The sequence below is a fragment of the Homo sapiens genome, chromosome 11 (genome assembly GCF_000001405.40).
Source record: "Homo sapiens chromosome 11, GRCh38.p14 Primary Assembly".
NCBI classification, from domain to species: Eukaryota; Metazoa; Chordata; class Mammalia; order Primates; family Hominidae; genus Homo; species Homo sapiens.
Genome location: NC_000011.10, coordinates 48,151,080 through 48,172,534, shown reverse-complemented (window position 1 = coordinate 48,172,534; position 21,455 = coordinate 48,151,080). Strand labels below are relative to the sequence as shown.

The following is a 21,455-nucleotide window of genomic DNA, read 5'->3' as shown; positions in this document are numbered from 1 at the left end:
AAAAAAAAAGAATTTTGTAACTTGACTAGTAAATTTAAAACTATACTGTAGCTTCACTTTTTTGAGGCAAGGAGGGAAAAGTGCTAAGTTTTAAACTAGTTACTCTTAAGTACTCCATATTCATTGGGAGAAGTTAGAAACTATAAACAGGTGAATATAAAAATAAAATCCACTCCTAATCCCACTATTATATTATTCTAGAGTTGTGTTTCTTTTCTTCTATGCACTTATTTAATTCTTATTGGGATTGTTCTCTGTTTATAGTTCTATGAATTTGTTTTCTCACTTAAGCTTTACATTTTATAAAACCACAGGTGATCATTCGGTTTTTCTTTCCCACAATATCTCAATTCCTAGGCTATACCTGGGTAAGGTAGTTTTTATCAAACTAAGTGCTAGGAGCAGAGAATGCTGTGCTATTTTGCAGGGTAGCCTAGTTTGGTTTGTTTTTTTTTTAAGTATGCAGATAACAGGTCAGCAATACAGTGTCTCCCTGCCTCCTCTAAACCAACACTGTGGGCAGAAAAGTTCTGGGACAACTTTGGCCTGAATCAAAACAGGAAGATGATGGATACTTTATCCGCAGCCCAAGCGCTGTCCCTAAGCAGAAAGCCCAGGAGAGCTAACTATATCATAACACACCCCCAACCAACTGGGTATCCATCCACCTGCAGGCTCATACCTCCAACCTTCTGGGAACACACACAATCTTAAGACACACAGCCACTTCCTCCAAGCCTCCTCTTCACTAAATTGCCCTGAATATGTGTTACAGGCTGAACTGGGTCCCTTCCAAAACTCATATGGTCAAGTCCTAACCCCCACTAAAACAGAATTTGACTACATTTGGAGTGTCTTTGAAGAGGTAATTAAGGTAAAATTAGGTCAATAGGGTGGGCCCTGATCCAGTATGACTCGTGTCCTTATAAGATTAGCCGGGAGCGGTGGCTCACGCCTGTAATCCCAGCACTTTGGGAGGACAAGGCGGGTGGATCACGAGGTCAGGAGTTCGACACCAGCCTGACCAACATGGTGAAACCCTGTCTCTATTAAAAATACAAAAAAATTAGCTGGGTGTGGTGGCAGGCACCTGTAGTCCCAACTACTCGGGAGGTTGAGGCAGGAGAATCGCTTGAGCCCGAGAAGCAGAGGTTGCAGTGAGCCAAGATCATGCCACTGCACTCCAGCCTGGGCGACAGAACAAGGCTCCATCTCAAAAAAAAAAAAAAAAGAAGGAGATTAGGACACAGACAAGCAGAGGGAAGACCATGTGGAGGCATGGGGAGAAGACAGCCATCTGCAAGCTACGAAGAGAGGCGCCTGAAGGCTGGGGCAGGAGAACTGCTTGAACCCAGGAGGCAGAGGTTGCAGTGAGCTGAGATCACGCCTCTGCACTCCACTCTGAGCAACAGAGTGAGACTCTGTCTCAAAAAAAGAAAAAAAAAAAAGGCCTCACAGGAAACCAACCCTGCCCACATCTGGATTTCAGCCACCAAAATTGTAGGAAGTAAATCTCTGCTGTTTAAACCACCAGTTGGTGGTACTTGTTACAACAGCCCTAGAAAACTAAAACAATCCGGAAATCCCAAAGAGAAATGTGTTTTTGTTAAGGATGCCCAAGTAAAATGCAGGCCAGTAAACTGCTTGGCACATTGTAAGAAGGAAAAAAGAAGAAAGAAAGAAGCAAAGGCATAATGCATTGACATTTTTTTATATTTGGTATTTGTAAGTCTTTAAAAAAATGTTTTCAGGCCATTTTTTCCTTAAAAAAAAAAAAAGCAACCAACAGCAATACTCTGTACAAGTATAACAAACATTAGAAATATGCATCATTCCAAAATAGTTACAGGAAAATTACAGTTTAGAGTCCACATCAACACATCCTATTTGTATGTGCCCCCAAGGGAGAAAAAGCTACAGTATGTTAAACACACAGCTGCTACACAGTAGTCTGAAAACCCAGGACTTAAAACTTTTGAGGCAAATCAACAACAGTCACCAAGACTTGTTTAGCTCAATAAGTACAATCAAGCATTTCAAAAGAGAACCAGGCTTTTTCATCCCAGATGAAAAACACACGTGATGGGCTGCATAGCTGACCCCCGCCCCTCGATCCCCAACCCCCGGGAGCCTCTGACTCAACAGAGCACAAATCCAGTGGAGTCAATTAGGCGGAAGTCTGGCTGGAGGTCACAGTATGGCTGCAGTGGGCAGACACCAAATGTCATTTCCTGCTGGTGCTGATCATCACTAGATCCAACTTTGGAGGCAAAAAGTCGTTGTTCCTGGGAGATGCTATCAATGGCCCAAATCCCCCAAACCAGCTGGCCACCAGTCTTTGGCCCTTTCATTGACACCCAAACCCATACCAGCTGCTTTTCTGTATGCAATTGTCAAAGACTGAACAGGGGTGCTCACACCATCCCCCCGATTCCACTGGACTCTTCCAATTTGAGCTCATTGTTCCTGGGAGGGGTTGAAGCTCAGAGGCACCCTCCTCTTGCCTCTGACCAACCCCCAGCCTGTGTGTCCTTTATATTTACACATTAATCTTCCCTTTTCAAGCACTGTGCTATAAATACCCTTACCACCCCCACTGGCCCTGTCCCCAGCCCTTTTCAGGATGCAGAGAAGCATCGTGACCTTCGTGTGACCTGCCCATTTGGAATCCCAGACCGCTCCCCCGCAAGAGTTCCTCCCATGATTGCTGGGGCCGCTTGCCCATTTCCCAAGCCCACACCAGGCGGAAGGGAAGAGGGTTCCTGTGTTTTTCATTTTTATACAATATGTTTACAGTTATGTTGCTTTAATCTTTTAAAGTATTTAACCTTTTAAAGGATTTTTTAGCAACAAGTCCCTTCCTCTGACTTCTCTGTGGCAGTGATGTGGGCAGAGCAGGGCTTAGGAGCTCCCTGGGATTTGCCACCCATCACAATGGTTTCGGACATATTGGAGGGGAGAGGGCCACAGCCCACAGAACTGCTGCCTGAACAGGGACCTATGAATGAAGTACCGACCGCTCCGAGATCTGTATGAGTTGGAGGCAGGCCAGTGTGAAGGTGTGGGAGGAATCCGCCCACACCCAGCTTCATACAGCACCCTGAGGACAATGTGGCTTCCCTGATTCACACCTACTGAGCCAAGGCCCCCTCTGAAGTTAGGTCAAGAGGGCCCACCCTAGCCGGGCCAACTCATTCCTTTGAGGACCTGATACTCAATGAACTGCTTACTACCAAAAAAATGCAAAGGATTCAGCAAAAAGTGCAATTTCCATTTGAGAAGTAAGATTCTCCCCAAAACATGACACCACCTTTTCATCCTTTCAGTACCTCAAAGGGAAAGGGAAATAAAAGGCATACAGCACTAACCCTCCGAACCACAGCCGGGGCTTTAAAAGTGTGGTTCACCCTTTAGAACCCTAAAAGACCCATTAACACGTCCAGTCAGTTATCGAAGTGCCAGTGAGGTGAGGGGCGTGGCAGAGTCAGGAGGGACCAGGAGGCTGGAAGAGCCCGCTCACATTCTCAACAGGACACACCTGTCCTGTTTACAGCAGGACACATTACTGTGGCAACAGCCACAGGACTCCAGGGACTTGGTTATTCCTTCATAAAACCTTGTCAACTTCATTGCCTATTGGAGGATAAACTCAAAACATCTTCAAAATATAACCTGAGCCACAATATAAAATAAAAAGAAAAAATCTTTTCATGTTAATGCCTTAAGAAGTTTACAGATTATGTACCAATAAAATAAATCCACATAAATTTGAAATTCTTGGTGGATACACACCTGAAGCAAAAAAAAAAAAATTAATCTACATTTTAAAAATCAAAGTAATTACAGCAGCAGTATAGTGAAAAGGTTTTAAAAATAATAATTACATCTTTGATACAAATTCAAACTTTGTACACCTCAATTCATAGGAATGACTGTTTTTGAGAGCTTAGTGTATATATATATATATATATATATATATATATATATATATATATATATACACAGTAGATTCCGATATGTGTCACGGCAGAGAGAGACGAAAGCCAGTGGACTTTGGGGAAGGAGGGATTAATCTGACACTGAATTCACGCTGAAGTGTTCACAGATTGCCACGCTTCTGAACATACACACACACATACAGACACAGACACATAAAATGCCAACCTGAGTAAAACGTTACTAAAAACCTAGAACATCATGAATCACTAATTCACATATTGCACCTTTAAATAATCCTTCATACCAAATACAGACATGAGAAAAAGGATAATACAGGGACAAGAAAAGGATTTCTGCCACTGTAGGATTCCTCTGCTTCTCCCATTCCCACCCACAGAAATTCTCAAGGTGATATTTGAGTCGCCATTCTCACCCAACCAATGGGTTGAAAATGTTGCCAACAGAAGAGTCTTTGGAGAAAACTGGGAGGGAAAAGGGAAGAAAAAATGGAGCACAAATGTACAGGGGGCAGGGGAAGCGGAGTCGGGGCAAAGAGGCCTCCCCTGATCAAATGAGAACAGAAATGTTACTGAGGAAGCAAACCTCTGATGCTAAGCTACTGTTTAAATATTCCGTATATTCCAATTATGAGATTCAGTACAAAAATATAGATCTCTACTGAGTTTTGCCTGTGGAAGCATAATTCAGAAAAGGCACATGTTCAAATAGAAAACCCATTCGGAAGAGGTGCCACGTACCCCTCCCTGCGCAATCATCATCCACAATTAGGTATTTTCCATCGGCTAGATTCCAAGACACAGTAGGTAAAAATAGACCTCTGATACTTAAAATATATTCAACCCAACACAATCCTGGCTTTAGCATGTGAATCATATAAAATAGTCTTTTTTAAAAAAGAAATTGTTTTGGAAAAAAAAATCATAGCTCCCTTTTCCTGGTTTTCCACAATCCTCAAGGGGGAAAAAAAAAAAAAGTGACCTCATCCCATTGGTCATCAGGAATGCAGATGATTTGCTCCCCACCCATCCACAGCCCCCGACAGCCCCAATTTGTCATCTATCATATGCAGCTTCATGCCCTCAAAATTAGTTCTCACAAAACAGAACAAAGAATTAAGATATTAGACATATAAAAACATGTCGACATCGGGGCATGTGCCTTCGCTGTGGGTGCGACGGTCTGGTTCACTCCAGAAAGGTTATTCCTTTGGAATTAGGCGATGTAACCATTGGTCTTTCCAAATGTGGTCACGGGCGCAAGGTTTTCATAGATTGTCATTGCAGTTGTGTTCTGGTAGATAAGATCTACTTTTGAGTCTTTCTGGGATCTGACAATATCCAAAACACACTGATTGAGGAAAACATACTGGTCCTGATAGAAAAACGAAAGAGAGAGACAGAAAATGAACATGGGTCCCAGAAATTAGCACCCAAAATTATTTTCAAACAGGTCATTCCCCCGCCCAACTCCCAAACCCCATCCACCCAACAGCAAACGGTTCAAGCGAACATGTTTCAAGAGGTAACAACATTGCAGTGAAATCTGAAATCACAGAAGCAAGATGTCCTTCCTCAATGATTCTCAACCAGAAGAGCACACTCCACACCTCCCCTCCCCAAGGAAAAATGCCACAGTCTCAGGGAAGGGCAAAGGAAGGAGGAAATGTAGAGGAAAAAATGCACACACACATTCGAACAATCAAATGTCCAACAAGATTGCCTTGGCTAGTGAGACTGTACAGAGTAAGAATCAACTGTAATGCTCAACCGAGGAGCGAGGTTAAAAGGAGATGATCAGGTGGAGCTGGATGAGGACTATCCTTCAGGTAGGTATATCAGAATCTGTGGATAGTGATGAAGAAAAGAGGAAACAAGGGTATAAGCTGACACAGAAAAATATCCATGATATTATAAGAGGAGAAAAAAAATCACAGAGAAGCAACATACATAAAACAGGATCTGGCCAGGCGCGGTGGCTCCTGTCTGTAATCCCAGCACTTTGGGGAGGCCAAGACAGGTAGATCGGCTCAGGTTAGGAGTGCGAGATCAGCCTGGCCAACATGGTGAAACCCCGTCTCTACTAAAAATACAAAAATTTGCTGGGCGTGGTGGCACACACCTGTAATCCCAGCTACTCAGGAGGCTGAGGCAGGAGAATCGCTGGAACCCAGGAGGTTGAGGTTTCAGTGAGCTGAGATGGCACCACTGCACTCCAGCCTGGGCAACAGAGCAAGACTCCATCTCAAAAAAAAAACAGCATCCAATTTTTTCAAAGTACTGTGTGTGCGTGTGTGTGTGTGTGTGTTTACAGATGTACATAAAGAGTCTTATAAAGATGTACACCAAACTATAAACATTGGCTACCTCCAGGAAGCAGGATTGGGGAAGGAAGAGTAAGAGAAAAATATATTGAGGCCAGGCACGGTGGCTCACACCTGTAATCCCAGCAATTTGGGAGGCCGAGGCGGGCGGATCATGAGGTCAGGAGATCGAGACCATCCTGGCCAACATGGTGAAACCCCATCTCTACTAAAATACAAAAAAAAAATTAGCTGGGCATGGTGGCACACGCCTGTAGTCCCAGCTACTTGGGAGGCTGAGGCAGGGGAATCGCTTGAACCCAGGAGGCAGAGGTTGCAGTGAGCCGAGATCGCACCACTGCAATCCAGCCCGGTGACAGAGCAAGTCTCCGTCTCAAAAAAAAAAAAAAGAGGAGAGAAAAATATATTGTCAAATGCTTTCATATGAATAAGTATTGTTTTCAAAATATAAAAAAGAGATTAGACTCTAGTAGCAGGGATAAGAGTTCTATGTTTCTCAAAAAAGGATAAAAGATTGAGAAATACTACTTTATATAATTATAGCAGAAAAAAGAAAATCTCTCTTTTGACCAACACAGGAGTTGAATTTCACTCTTTCCACAACAACCACCAAGCTCACCCCAGAGCACGCAATGTACCCAGGCATCTAGAACATTCCCTGCTAGACTCAAAAACACAGCACATATTCATAGAGTTCTAAATCGGTACAGGACGATAGCCTGATACAAAATTAATATTCTGCTCTCATCCTGGTCAAGGAACATTCACCCCTTTGAGGAAAGCAACTTTGCAATATGTTCTGTTGAAAACATGCCTCAAAAACACTTCTCAGTAACAGTTTGGGTAAAACCAAATCCAGCAGTAGTACAGAAACTATACCATAGATATTAAGTGTTCCTTTTCTCCGCTGGTCAGCCACCCTTCTGTAGCTATGATAATTGATAGTCTTTAAAATGTACAAGTCTGGGTGAGGATAAATTGCTGTATTAACATTTAAGCAGCATTATGATATGTCACATCATTAATGTTTGATGAGTTTGTTTCATTAGCTTATTTTAAAGATGGTCAGACCTTCTTAGAAACAAAGACTGGAAAATACCAGTTTTATGAGTTTAAAACCTGGAAGCCAAAGTTCAAAGATGTCCTAAGATTATTTAATGAGTCAGAGGCAGCAAGGTAAAGAATCCTGACACTATCTCAGTAGTAGTTCCATTACTGACATCAGTACTACTATGTCACTTGTATTGGGTAATTTAATTCCAAGTCAGCTTAAAGTCTGCAAAGAAATCCAGTGTTAGTTCACAGCCAAGAGCTGGAAAGATCTGGAAGGGTGACATATTTTAACACAAGTGCATGACACAATGCAACCTTTTAAAAATGGAGGGGAAGGGCCAGGCAAAGTGGCTCATGCCTGTAATCCCAGCACTTCGGGACACTGAGGCAGGCAGATCACTTGAGGTCAGGAGTTCGAGACCAGCCTGGCCAACATGGAGAAACACCGTCTCTACTAAAATTACAAAAATTAGCTGGGCATGGTGTGCGTGCCTGTAATCCCAGCTACTTGGGAGGCAGAGGCAGGAGAATCACTTGAACCCAGGAGGCAGAGGTTGCAGTGAGCCAAGATCATGCCACTGCACTCCAGCCTGGGCGACAGAGCAAGACTCCGTCTCAAAAAAAAAAAAAAAAAAAAAAAAAATGGAGGGGAAGGGTGGAATGTCAAATACAGATCTTGGCCTCACCTCTGTCTGCACCATTAAAGGCCTATGCATTCGAAGGTCATACACAATCCCATACACATCCACGGTGTTCTCATTCTCTATCTGGTAGATGAGACGATCAATGGCAATGAAAGTGCCCGTCCTTCCGACCCCAGCACTGAGAGAAAAGAGAAATAAGCCTATTACAGTGGGTTCCCTCGACTGCAACCCTCTTAGAGTTCCTCATTTGTACATATATCTTGCTTTCCTTCACTGTCACACTTTGAGGGCAATGCACAGGATCAGTACACATTTGCTCAGTTGAAGCCTCAGCAAGTCAGACAGCACTAGCTTGGGACTGGGGCCTAAGTCCCAAACTCACATTTGAGTCAGATGCCACACATATAACCCTTTGCTCAAGCTTCTTCAATCTCAGTTCCATTCAAGTTGCCCATAACCCAGGATGGCGGCACATTTTAGCCATTTTTTCCCCACTGGGCAACAGAGCCCCTCCTGTCTTCTGTCCTAAATTAATTCCTTTAGCTTCAAAGCTAACTTCTTATTGTTAGGGGTTGGCAAACTTTTTCAGTAAAGGGCCAGATAGTTAACATCTTAAGCTTTGCAAACCATATGGTCTCTTTCTGTCACTGTAGCAGAAAAGCAACCATAAACAATATATAAATAAATGGGCATGCTGTGTTCCTAGAAAATGTTATTTACAAAAACAGCAGCTGACCAGATTTGATCCATGGGTTACAGTTTGCCAACCCCTGTTTTGGAAGCTCAGGGCTTAGGGAGTAAGTCCATGGTTCCTTATCCAAACCTTTCCTGAATTCATAAATGCCTATTACATTCCCTCTTAGGCTTTGCTTTTGTAAAGTGCTCATAAATATATAATGACATTTGAAATCTGTCACACGTGACGTGCCATCTGCGTACCTGCAATGCACCAGAATCGGCGATTCGGGAGGACTCTGCTTCATGTAGTCACGAACGAGGTACCGGAAGTTGATGAGCAGGTCAGTGGTGTCGGGAACACCGTGGTCTGGCCAGGAGGTGAAATGGAACTGTCTCAGAGGGTGACTCTCACTTGTCTGGATCTAAAAGCCCAGAAAATGATTTAGATCCAGACAGAAAGGCTGCCTAACAACATCAAAAAGGCAGGGGAAATCAAGCAGAGCCTGAGTACTAACCAGGAGTTGTAATGACTAAAAATTAAACTTTACATTTGCACAGCAGCTGATAAAGTGCTTGCTCATCAAACCCTCACAATATGCTCAAGAAGGAGAGTTTATTATCCCCCTTTAAAGATGAGGCAGCAGAGATTCACAGAAGTGAAGTCATTTCCCCAACACTGATTTCAGATGCAACAGAAGTCCCTCATCCTCCAATTCTGCATTCAGATCCTTCCCTTCCTGCCACAGCTGCCTATCAATAATGAACTCACATTCTTACACCTGCACCTCCTTAGAGCTGCATGAGCCCCATCCCCGAGCCCCCCTGGGAATGTCACTGACAATAAAACCAAAAATAATTTACTCAAATACACCATGATAATCAGTGCCTTCTAGGCAAGAATGGCCTCATAATTCACTATGTCCCCTAGAGAAGTGAATAAAGTGACAGGCCACTAGCAAGCACCATGCAAATATTTAGAATTGGAGAGAGCTGAGAAAGGACTCCCCCAAAAAACCATCCATTTCAACATCTGAAAGACAATAGAGCTCATTATTACACAGACTGGTTCCCTACCTCATACCAAAGCATATACCTTGAAGCACCAGAAGCCCACCCCAGCTGGGGCGAGTCCTGTCCCTGACTCAGCTGTACTCGTTATGCCCATACCAGGGAATGACCATACCCATGTGACCTACATCCGTACCCATGTGACCTACATCTGCACTGCAGGCATTTCCATCTCCATTATGACAGCTGCCCTTTGACACTCATTTTTTGAAATGTATATTCATGATAAGAATGTGCAGTATTCAAAATTTGGAAAACAGGAAAAACAGACAGAGTGAAGGGAGAGGTGCTAGAAGACCTCATCACAGATAAAGTTAACATTCACACATTTAACCAGAAGTACTGATCCAAAGACAGAAACCAGCTGTGAGAGATGGAGGTGGGGGAAGAGGAAGAAAAAGGGAGGGAGAGGGAGGAGGGAGAGGGAGGAGGGAGAGGAAAGGGAGTGGGAGCGGGCAAGGGGAGAAGGAGGGGGAGAGGAAGAGGGAGAAGTGAGGAGGGTTATACTTAGTATTATCTTCGTGGAGGGGCAAAGGGGCTCAGGTTAGGGGTGGTAGTCAAAGGAAATCTTTAGCTCTGTTTGTAATTTCTCGATTTTCTAAAGGAAAATGTATTCAGGCATTTTGTATAATTAAAAAATAACATGGTACTAAATGCCATGTGGTGTCCTGGATCAGAGCCAGGAACAAAACAAGGCTTTAGTGGAAAAACATGAAATCTGAATAAAGTCTGGAGTTTAGTTAATAAAAAATAATAATCATAGTAACAGCAATTTTTAAAAATGATGTGGACAACTCCATCCTAAATTCCCCTCCACAAGGTAAGCCCCAAGCAGTGGAGGCAACCAAGGAGAAGCCAGTCAGTTCAAATGAGCAAAATCTATAGAAATAAGCATGACAGGCCGGGCACAGTGACTCCCACCTGTAATCCTAACACTTTTGGAGGCCGAGCAGGTGGATCACAAGGTCAGGTGTTCAAGACCAGCCTGGCCAATATGGTGACACCCCATCTCTATTAAAAATACAAAAAAAATTAGCTGGGCATGGTGGCAGGTGCCTGTAGTCCCAGCTACTCAGGAGGCTGAGGCAGGAGAATCACTTGGACCCGAGAGGCAGAGGTTGCAGTGAGCTGAGATTGTGCTACTGCACTCCAGCCTGGATGACAGAGAGAGACTCCATCTCAAAAAAAGAAAAAAAAGAAAAGAAAAGAAAAGAAATAAGCATGACATTTTTCTACTACTGTGAGCTGCATTATTTAGGTGGCCAGATCATGGTAACAGCTTTGATGGCATCTCCAGAGGAGGAACTGAAATATTGAGGCCAGACCCTTTGAGACACAGCAATTAGTAAAGAATTACTACTTAATATACTATACTTTATCCATGACTTGTGGAATCTTCAAGGATAATCTCATAAACTAGACCCTAACCCATCAACCCCCAAAACCCACCCAAAAGATTCAAGATTCAACTCCAGTGAATCTATACTTCCCGGCTTTCCTTTTATGCACTATTCATAATATGCATACATTTTCATCTCCTAGAATGTTTCTCTTACATTACATCCTACCATGTCCCCATGGTAATTATATAGTCTACCCATCCCTTATTTATCTTTTTTTTTTTTTTTTTTGAGACCGGGTCTTGCTTTGTCACCCAGGCTAGAGTGCAGCAGTGGCACAATCTCGGTTCACTGCAGCCTCGACCTCCTGGGCTCAAGCCATCCTCCTACCTCAGCCTTCCAAGTAGCTGGGACTACAGGTGTATACCAGCATGCCTGGCTAATTTTTGGGTTTGGTTTGGTTTTGTTTTTGTAGAGGTGGAGTTTCAGCATGTTGCCCAAGCTGGTCTCAAACCTGAGCTCAAGCGATCCTCCCACCTTAGCCTCACAGGTTAGAATCACCGCACCTGGGCCATCATTTCTAATAGCTGAATAATGATATTATAAGCAGACGAGTCATAGTTAAGTTATCCATTCTGCAAAAGCTACAAAAGCTACAAAACCATGTCTGCATGGTTTCCAAAGTTTTCCTCTATTATAAATAATGCTGAGACTCGTCTTTCTGAATAAGCCTTTGGTTGCATTTCAGATTATTTCCTTAGGATAGTCTCAGACTTCAAGCCAGCACATGCCTAATGTTTAGGCCTGTGATATAAACAGCAGAGAGTTATGCCAATGCACACACCCATCAACAGATACCAATGCTGCTTCATGGCACTGCCTCTATTTTCAAAGCATCCTTGAAAAAGAAAAAAAGCACATAAACTTGACTTCCTAGAATGCCTGCACAATTTAATTGGATTTGCTTTTGTAAATTTTGAGGGGAAGGAAGGCCATGTGCATATGCCCTGGAATCCTATTAATGTAACTGTTATCAATTACTCCTAACAGCAAGTGGCCGCTCCTGATGCCATATTTCTAACCAAATAATCCAAAAGGCTACAGTTTGTTCTGTAAAATCTATGAGCAAGTCACCTGGAAGTGGAAAGAAAGGAAAGAGTTCCTGATGTAGAGCCATGCTCTTAAGATTCATTTTATTCAGAAATAACTTAGGTTATTCCCAAGAAAGTAAATTTCCCAGAAAAGTCAAGGGGTTGCCTTGGAGTATACATGCATATGGATTGTTCTGTTCTGAAAGGAAAGCAGCAAAACATTTCTCACTGCATAGGAAAACATATTAGTTAATATCAACCTAAAACATATCACCCCCAAATTAACATATGGTAATTACATGAGCTCAACTGATCCTGACTTCTTACTTACATTTTTCACTGTGAAATCTCTGATGGTCCATTCCGGAAGAACAATTTCTGATGTCATTGCCACAGTTATGTCTCCATAGTCCTGAGCCTGCTTGGAGGGCCAATACTCCTCACATTTGGTCTAGAACAAAATTGCATTTTTATAAGAAGACTCAGATCATGCCATCTGCCATCACTAAAACCTCACAAGGGAGACTGGCTATTGAAAACTGGCATCAGAGATGGAATCAGACCTTCTAGTTGGGTTTTGTTTGACCCTTCGAATTTTTTTATTTTATTTTATAGAGACAGGGTCTCACTATGCTGCCCAGGCTGGAGTGTGGTGGCTATTCACAAATGAGATCATAGCACACTACCACCTCCAATTCCTGCACTCAAGCAATCCTCATGCCTCAGCCTCCCAAGTAGCTGGGTCTATGGGCACACCACAGCACCTGTTGGAATTGTTTTTTCTTTTTTTAATTTACAATTCTTGCCAACTCTTAAAATTTCTCATAAAAATCCAGACTTATTTTCTCTTTAAAAATCAGATCTGCCTACAACAGGCCCTGCTTTCAGCATGAAAATTGATTTAGAGCAGAGCAGCAGCTGTCCCTTGACCTAGGACACAGTCCCCATCCAGCTCCCTTTGCCCCTAGAGTAGCCACCACAACTGTTCACTGACCTCATCTTCTCCCATAACCCCAGACAGCTGGAAGAAATGAGGACTTTTTCCCAAGGCTTTCAGATATACATCGGTTGCAATACAAATACACACACCAATAAAGAAAATCAAATTAAATCATTCTGGGGTCTTTGATTTCTATAAAGTTGGTGGGCAGATGTGAACAGAAATAACCAGGAAACACCTGCTCTCCAAGAATATCTGAATACCCATTTGGCAAATGACCACACACACACACACACACACACACACACACACACACACCCCACATACACACACACACACACACCCCACATACACACACACGCACACACACTCAGTATTCTAAGGTGTGCTCTACTGCTGGTAGTTTTCAAAGCTAATTGATTATCTGACTCACCTGAGAAGTTTGAGTTGTTTTGGGTTTTGTTTTCTGTTTTTTGTTTGTGTGTTTGTTTGAGACAGTCTCACTCTGTCATACAAGCTGGGGTACAATGGCACGATCACGGCTCACTGCAGCCTCAACCTCTCAGGCTCAAGTGATCCTCCCACCTCAGCTTCCAGAGGAGTTTGGACTACAGAGACGTGCCACCACACCCAGCTATTTTGTATTTTTGTAGAGATGGGGGTCTCACTATGTTGCCCAGGCTGTTCTTGAACTCCTGGCCTCAAGTGATCCTCTCACCTTGGCCTCCCAAAGTGCTGAGATTACATGCCTGAGCCTCTGTGCCTGGCCTTGTTTTGTTTAAAAAGAGATGCCTGGGTTCTACCTCCAGAGATTCTGACTCTGGCTGCGGGATCTGTATTTCTTTAAAGACCCAGGTTCCAAAGAAACAACCCAGGATCTGGATACACACTGACATGGAGTTGATTCCCAGCTCAGCCTCTTACCAGGTATATTTTTGTTCCTACCTTGTGGGCAAGTTCTTAAACTCCCCAAGCCTCAGTTACCTCATCTATGAAATCATAATACCTCACAGGGTTGTTACAGAAAAAAAATAACATATATGGAGAATCTAGTGCAGAAAATACACTCCCTTCCCCATTCACCCAGGGTCACTAAGACTAACTTCAATCTTGATTTTAGATGAACAAAAGACCATTTAAATTCATCTTCATGTTCTCCATTAATGTAATTATGTCATTTTTGTTTGTCTAACAGATAGATTTATAAGAATGTTTCATGTATAAGGCCCTGGGCTCAACAGTATTAAAAAGCTTATTTGCATTCTTCTTTTTTTGTTTTGTTTTGTTTTGAGACAGAGTCTTGCTCTGTTGCCTAGGCTGGAGTGCAGTGGTGCAATCTTGGCTCACTGCAACCTCCGCCTCCTGGGTTCAGGCCATTCTCCTGCCTCAGCCTCCCAAGTAGCTGGGATTACAGGCATGCACCACCACGCCTGGCTAATTTTTGTGTTTTTAGTAGAGATGGGTTTCGCCATGTTGGCCAGGCTGGTCTCAAACTCCTGACCTCAGGTGGTCTGCCCACCATGGCCTTCCAAAGTGCTGGGATTACAGCTGTAAGCCACTGCACCCAGCCTATCAGCATTCATTTTAAAAACGCTTTTATTTCTATTACAGCCTATTCTCCTGATTCAACAAGAGGGTAAGGAGCCCACCCTCTATCACAAGCAACATGAGGATGGGCGTCATCTCTTACTGCTCTGTTATCTTTCCCTCCTCCATCCTCAGCCCCTAGCACAGGATCTTACATATACCAGGGGCTGGATAAACATCTGCTAGCTTACCATGAATTAAAGAACAATAAAAGAAATGATGCCTGAAGGGCTCCCACTATCCTGGGGACAGTACCACTCCAAGTGTGCACCCTGGTGCCACAGCAGTAGAATCACCCAGAAACTGGCAGAAACGCAATTCCGAATTAGAAACTCTGAGGGTAGAACCACCCTCCTGGTGATGCTGATGGATGCTAAAGTTTGAGATCCACTGGCTTAAGGAATCGAATCCTATTCCTCAAGCAATGAACCTACACTTAAAAACAACTCATAAAGCAACATTAAGTCCCATTCCTAAGGCACAGCATTTTTTTAGATTAGCATGTGTTTTTCAGTTCTCTTCACATCAATTCATGGAAATGCAGAATTTTATTACTATAAAAAATATTGGCCAGGGGCGGTGGCTCACATCTGCAATCCAGCACTTTGGGAGGCCAAGGCAGGTGGACCACAAGGTCAGGAGATTGAGACCATCCTGGCCAACATAGTGAAACCCTGTCTCTACTAAAAATACAAAAAGTAGCTGGGCATGGTGGCGCCTGCCTGTAATCCCAGCTACTTGGGAGGCTGAGGCAGGAGAATCGCTTGAACCAGGGAGTCGGAGGTTGCAAAAGCCAAGATCACACCACGGCACTCCAGCCTGGCGACAGAGTGAGACTCCATCTAAAAAAAAAAAATCTTATCTTTGATGGAAGCAGAAGAGGGATTTCAGGACGTTGCAGGAGAGAGGAGGCTGCTGAGGCTTATCCAGGGATAAGTCTGAGATTTTGCTTAAAGAAATGGTTCCAGGCCAGGTGTGATGGCTCACGCCTGAAATCCCAACACTTTGGGAGGCCAAGGAAGCAGGATCACTTGAGGTCAGGAGTTTGACACCAGCCTGGGCAACACAGTGAGACCTTGCCTCCACTAAAAATAAAAAAAATTATCCAGGCATGTGGTGCACGCCTGTAGTCCCAGCTACACAGGAGGCTGAAGTGGGAGGGAGCCCAGGAATTCAAAGCTGTAGTGAGCCATGATCGCACCACTGCACTCCAGGCTGGCTGACAGAGGAGACCCTGTCTCAAAAAAAAAAAAAAAAAAAAAAAAAAAAAAAAAAAACCCTGGGGTGGAGGCAGGAGGGGTTCAGTGCTCAACCTAAATTTGAAAATCATGGAGCTGATGAAAACCCTCATCTCACAGATGAAGACACCGGTTGCTTAGAGACATGATGGGCTTGTCCGTGTTCATGGGGCCAATGAAGAACAGAGCCACACCGTGAACAGCATCTTGCACTAGGCCTGGGAGATTTTGCTATTTACTAACTCCAGCAGCAACGTAATAAACAGAAGACACTGATATTTGTCCAAAAAAAAGATAATGACAAAATAGAATTGTTTAAAGAATGTTTTTAAACATTTCTCTTATGGGGAAAAAAAGACAGAAAACAAGTTTATAAGAATAAAGTGCTAATGTTTGAGTTTTTTTAAAGAAACAAATGGTTTTTAAGATACCCTTCTGCCACAATAAAAAGCAATTAATGTAATTTTAAATTTTAAAAACTAAAAAAGATACTTACTCTTCCCTGTTCAACACATTTAGTCAACATAATGATGGCATATACATTTTTCTCCCAAACCATACGCCAAAAATCTTTCAAAGTGTTCGGTAAAGGTCCTTGTGTGGCAATAAAATCTTTCTTGGAGTGGTAGCCCTAAAAATGGGAAACAGCACATAGTCAACCTCAAAGAAACAGAAAGAAGCAAAGCACACTGAAGATTTCATCGAAACAGTCCAGTGCTGTGAGACCGTCCCCCAACTTACAGGCATGTAGTTGGCATTGATGTAGTCATCCGTTGAATGGGTCTGGACCGAAAGTTTGACACGGGAAATATCATCTGTGACATTAAAAGAAAAAAGGTCCCCATTATAAGCAAATGTTTTAGTAAAGTTGGACACAAAACAGAAAAAAAAATGAAATTCAAAATGGCAAAACTGGGACTTGTGTCTTTGAAGATGCACAGTGTGGCATTTCATATAGACCACCTCATTTAATCCTCATGGTCACTCTATATGACCGTGGCACAGAGAAGTCACATGATCACCAGAGCAGAGCTAATGAGTGGCAGGGCCAGGATTTGAACCTGCAGCCTGACACCAGGACCCAAGATCTTAACCACACCAGATGCCTTCTCACATAAAATGAACCTGTTACTATTAGCATCCTCAGGTGTCTACCATGAGGGAATATGCTAAACAATTTTATTTACTCCTCAAAACCACCCTACAAGCCACTGCCCTGTTTCACAGATGAGGAAACTGAGGGTTACAGAGATTAAGTGACTTCTCCAAGTTCATATATCTGGTGAGGGGCAGTCAAAATTCAAATCTAGTGCCCCTTCCACTAGGACGGGGTAGGTCCCTAGGTTAACCATTCTACTCTGCCTCTATTCTCATATAAACAAGTTGTTATAAAAACAGAGTACCAAGTTCAAGTATAAATTGAATGTATAAGACTACTATGAGTAGGAGGGTCTAAAACACAGAATTATGTTTTATAAATATTATTGTCATCTCAAAAGCATACACACAAACTTGCCCAACTTAAGAGATGAAATAATAACCTTAGAACTGCAAGTGTCAGGCTGAGCCAGAAGCAGCACCACCTCAGTTTCCCCGTCTCTGATTGTACTACCTCACCCTCCTCTGGACAAAATAACATAACAATGCTAAGTCTAGTACTGACCTGAGTCTCAGCCTAAAGGCTTCCCAATAAGAACAATACCCAAACACCCACTTCCCAGCTCCCACTCCAGATCTGAGAATCTCCACAGACATTCACAAAAAGGGGCCAATAATCCCAAATTACCCTTACAAGGGCAATACCCCCAGCCTAGTTTTAAAAGCATTTCCCTCAGAACATGGGCCAATACTCCTTGTCAAGTACAAGGAAATAAATGGAGAGAAAGAACCCAAGAACTAGAAAATGCTGAATTTAAAAAGAACTTAATGTTTTAGTCCAGGAATGAAAAACACGGCTTCGAATAAAGATGATGACGTCCTGATGTAAAAATTATCTGCAAAGTCTATCAATTTCAGCTCCATCAGAACATGGCTACAATCTGCTTATGCTCCTCTCTGTGCCCTAATCCCCACCCAAAAGAGAGATTACAAGGAACTTTCAATGGAGAATTATTTACATTTCATCTAATGGTTTGATGTAATAAATAATTCTTATTTTAAACTCAATTTGCTGTAATCCTGTTGACTAAGATGCAGACATTGTTAATTCTCAAAAACAGGAAATGAGCTAAATATAAGTCATACTTAGCTGTGGAATTCACTCAGCCCATGTGTCTGGACACAGAGAGTGTGACTCCCCGTCTCCCTCTGCTCACTTTCATTCCAGAATTATAGAACTGAAATAAATAGTTGTGAGACAGAGGGGTTAAGAACACAGACTCTGGCCTTTTCCCTTACTGAGACAGACAGACCTAGTACAAAGCCGAGTTTTCCCGTCACTACCTGTGTAACCTTGGAAAGATCACCTAACCACTCTGTGCATTTTCCTCATCTGCAAAACAAATATTCTACTACCTACTTCATAAGGCTGTTGTGAGGATTTAAGAGAATGCACCTAAATATAGTGCTTAGCACATAGTAGGTGAATAATGGATGGTTGTGGAAGTAGGTGACTAATGAATGGTTGTGGAAGTGGTTACTTAGGATCACTGATTCCCTCCCCTCTACACTTAGAGATGTGATGGCCACTGATGGAACACAGAGAAGATGCTGTAGATAAAATAACTTACAGGGCAGAACATTATTATAGCGATTCTTTCCTCTATTCTCAGCCAGTTCTGCTGCATATTTAGGTTGACTAATTCCAACAAGCTTCAGATCCTGAAAACAAAACAAATGAGGTGTTCATTTATTTAGTCTTCAAATATTATTCATATTTAGCATAGCATATGACAGTGAAACCAGCCCAACAGTCCCATAGACAAGTTGTTTTTGAATAAACATAGAAATTTACCCTTCTGCTATTAAAGCCTGAAACTTGTATTTGTTTTATCTGAGTTCCTTTCTCAGGAAAGGACCTTCAGGGAGTAACAAAGAACTGAAACTAGTCAGATCACTGCACCAGATGCCTCCTTGCCCCTCCCTACTTCCTGTTTTCTTTTTTTTTTTTTTTTTTTTTTTTTTGAGACAGAGTCTCGCTCTGTCGCCCAGGCTGGAGTGCAGTGGCGCGGTCTCCTGCCTCAGCCTCCCGAGTAGCTGGGACTACAGACGCCCACCACCACGCCTGGCTAATTTTTTGTATTTTTAGTAGAGACGGGGTTTCACCATGTTAGCCAGGATGGTCTCGATCTCCTGACCTCGTGATCCACCCACCTTGGCCTCCCAAAGTGCTGGGATTACAGGCGTGAGCCACCATGCCCAGCCCCTAGTTCCTGTTTTCTTACACATTGTTACATTTCTTTCCTGCTGTATAAACCCCTGGTTTTAGTCAGTCAGCGAGATGGATTTGAGATTCAGCTCCCATCTCCTTGGCTGCAGCACCCGATTAAAGCTTTCTTCCCCGGCAATATTTGTCATCTCAGTGATTGGCTTTCTGTAAAGGTGAGGAGCAGGACCTAGACCAAACCCGTGGTGTTTTGGTAGCAAAAGAACAAAGTGGAAATGTAGAGGTGATATGGGTTAAACTGTGCCCCAAAAAGATATGTTGGATTTCTCGCCCCCAATACCTATGAGTGGGATCTTATTTAGAAATAGGCTCTTTACAAGCCTGCACTGCCAAGACAATCCTAAGCCAAAAGAACAAAGCTGGAAGCATCATGCTAGCTGACGTCAAACTATACTACAAGGCTACAGTAACCAAAAGAGCATGGCACTGGTACCAAAACAGAGATATAGACCAATGGAACAGAACAGAGCCCTCAGAAATAATACCACACATCTACAACCATCTGATCTTTGACAAACCTGACAAAAACAAGCAATGGGGAAAGGATTCCCAATTTAATAAATGGTGCTGGGAAAACTGGCTAGCCATATGTAGAAAGCTGAAACTGACAAAAATTAATTCAAGATGGATTAAAGACTTAAATGTCAGACCTAAAACCATAAAAACCCTAGAAGAAAACCTAGGCAATACTATTCAGGACATAGGCATGGGCAAGGACTTTACGTCTAAAACACCAAAAGCAATGGCAACAAAAGACAAAATTGACAAATTGGATCTAATTAAACTAAAGAGCTTCTGCACAGCAAAAGAAACTACCATCAGAGTGAACAGGCAACCTACAGAATGGGAGAAAATTTTTGCAATCTACCCATCTGACAAAGGGCTAATATCCAGAAACTACAAAGAACTTAAACAAATTTACAAGAAAAAATCAAACAACCCCATCAAAAAGTGGGCGAAGGATATGAACAGACACTTCTCAAAAGAAGACATTTATGCAGCCAAAAGACACATGAAAAAATGCTCATCATCGCTGGCCATCAGAGAAATGCAAATCAAAACCACAATGAGATAGCATCTCACACCAGTTAGAATGGCAATCATTAAAAAGTCAGGAAACAACAGGTGCTGGAGAGGATGTGGAGAAATAGCAACACTTTTACACTGTTGTTGGGACTGTAAACTAGTTCAACCATTGTGGAAGACAATGTGGTGATTCCTCAAGGATATGAAACTAGAAATACCATTTGACCCAGCCATCCCATTACTGGGTATATACCCAAAGGATTATAAATCATGCTGCTATAAAGACACATGCACATGTATGTTTATTGCAGCACTATTCACAATAGCAAAGACTTGGAACCAACCGAAATGCCCATCAATGATAGACTGGACTAAGAAAAATGTGGCACACATTCACCATGGAATACTATGCAGCCATAAAAGGATGAGTTCAGGTCCTTTGTAGGGACATGGATGAAGCTGGAAACCATCATTCTCAGCAAACGATCGCAAGGACAGAAAACCAAACACCGCATGTTCTTACTCATAGGTGGGAATTGAACAATGAGAACACTTGGACACAGGGAGGGGAACATCACACACCGGGGCCTGTCATGGGGTGGGGGGAGGGATAGCATTAGGAGATATACCTAATGTAAATGATGAGTTAATGGGTGCAGCACACCAACATGGCACATGTACACATATGTAACAAACCTGCATGTTGTGCTCATGTATCCTAGAACTTAAAGTATAAAAAAAAAAGGCTCTTTACAAATGTAAACAAATTAAAATGAGATCATACTAGATTAGAGTGGGCCCTGAATCCCATATGACTAGTGTCCTTATAGGAGGAAAAGAGACAAAGAGACATAGACACATGAGGGGAGATGGCCATGTGAACACAGAGGCAGACATCAGAGTGTTGCTGCCACAAAACCAAGGGACGCCTGGGGCTCCCAGAAGCTGCGGAGGCAAGGAAGGGCGCTGCCCAGAGGTTTAGAAGGGAGTGTGACCCTGCCCACACCTTAATTTGGGACTTGTGGCCTCTAGACAGTAAATTTCTGTTGTTTTCAGCCTCCCAGTTTGTGGTGCTTTTTTATGGCAGCCTAGAGAACTAATACAAAGGTTAGAATATAGGAAAAA

General features: G+C 42.7%; 1 protein-coding gene across 2 annotated transcripts in view; it reads right to left on the bottom strand.

Annotated features, from left to right (window-relative positions):
• Positions 1,696-21,455, bottom strand: part of PTPRJ (protein tyrosine phosphatase receptor type J) — a 190,281-nt gene continuing 170,521 nt past the window's right edge. For both annotated transcript variants that reach the window (NM_002843.4, XM_017018085.2), the window contains exons 19-25: positions 18,649-18,739; positions 16,661-16,734; positions 16,416-16,550; positions 12,486-12,605; positions 8,917-9,077; positions 8,020-8,155; positions 1,696-5,331 (exon numbers count right to left, since the gene is read on the bottom strand). In NM_002843.4, the coding sequence (NP_002834.3) occupies positions 5,173-5,331; positions 8,020-8,155; positions 8,917-9,077; positions 12,486-12,605; positions 16,416-16,550; positions 16,661-16,734; positions 18,649-18,739 (876 nt within the window). In that variant the 3' untranslated portion in view covers positions 1,696-5,172. The remainder of the gene's footprint in view (positions 5,332-8,019; positions 8,156-8,916; positions 9,078-12,485; positions 12,606-16,415; positions 16,551-16,660; positions 16,735-18,648; positions 18,740-21,455) is intronic.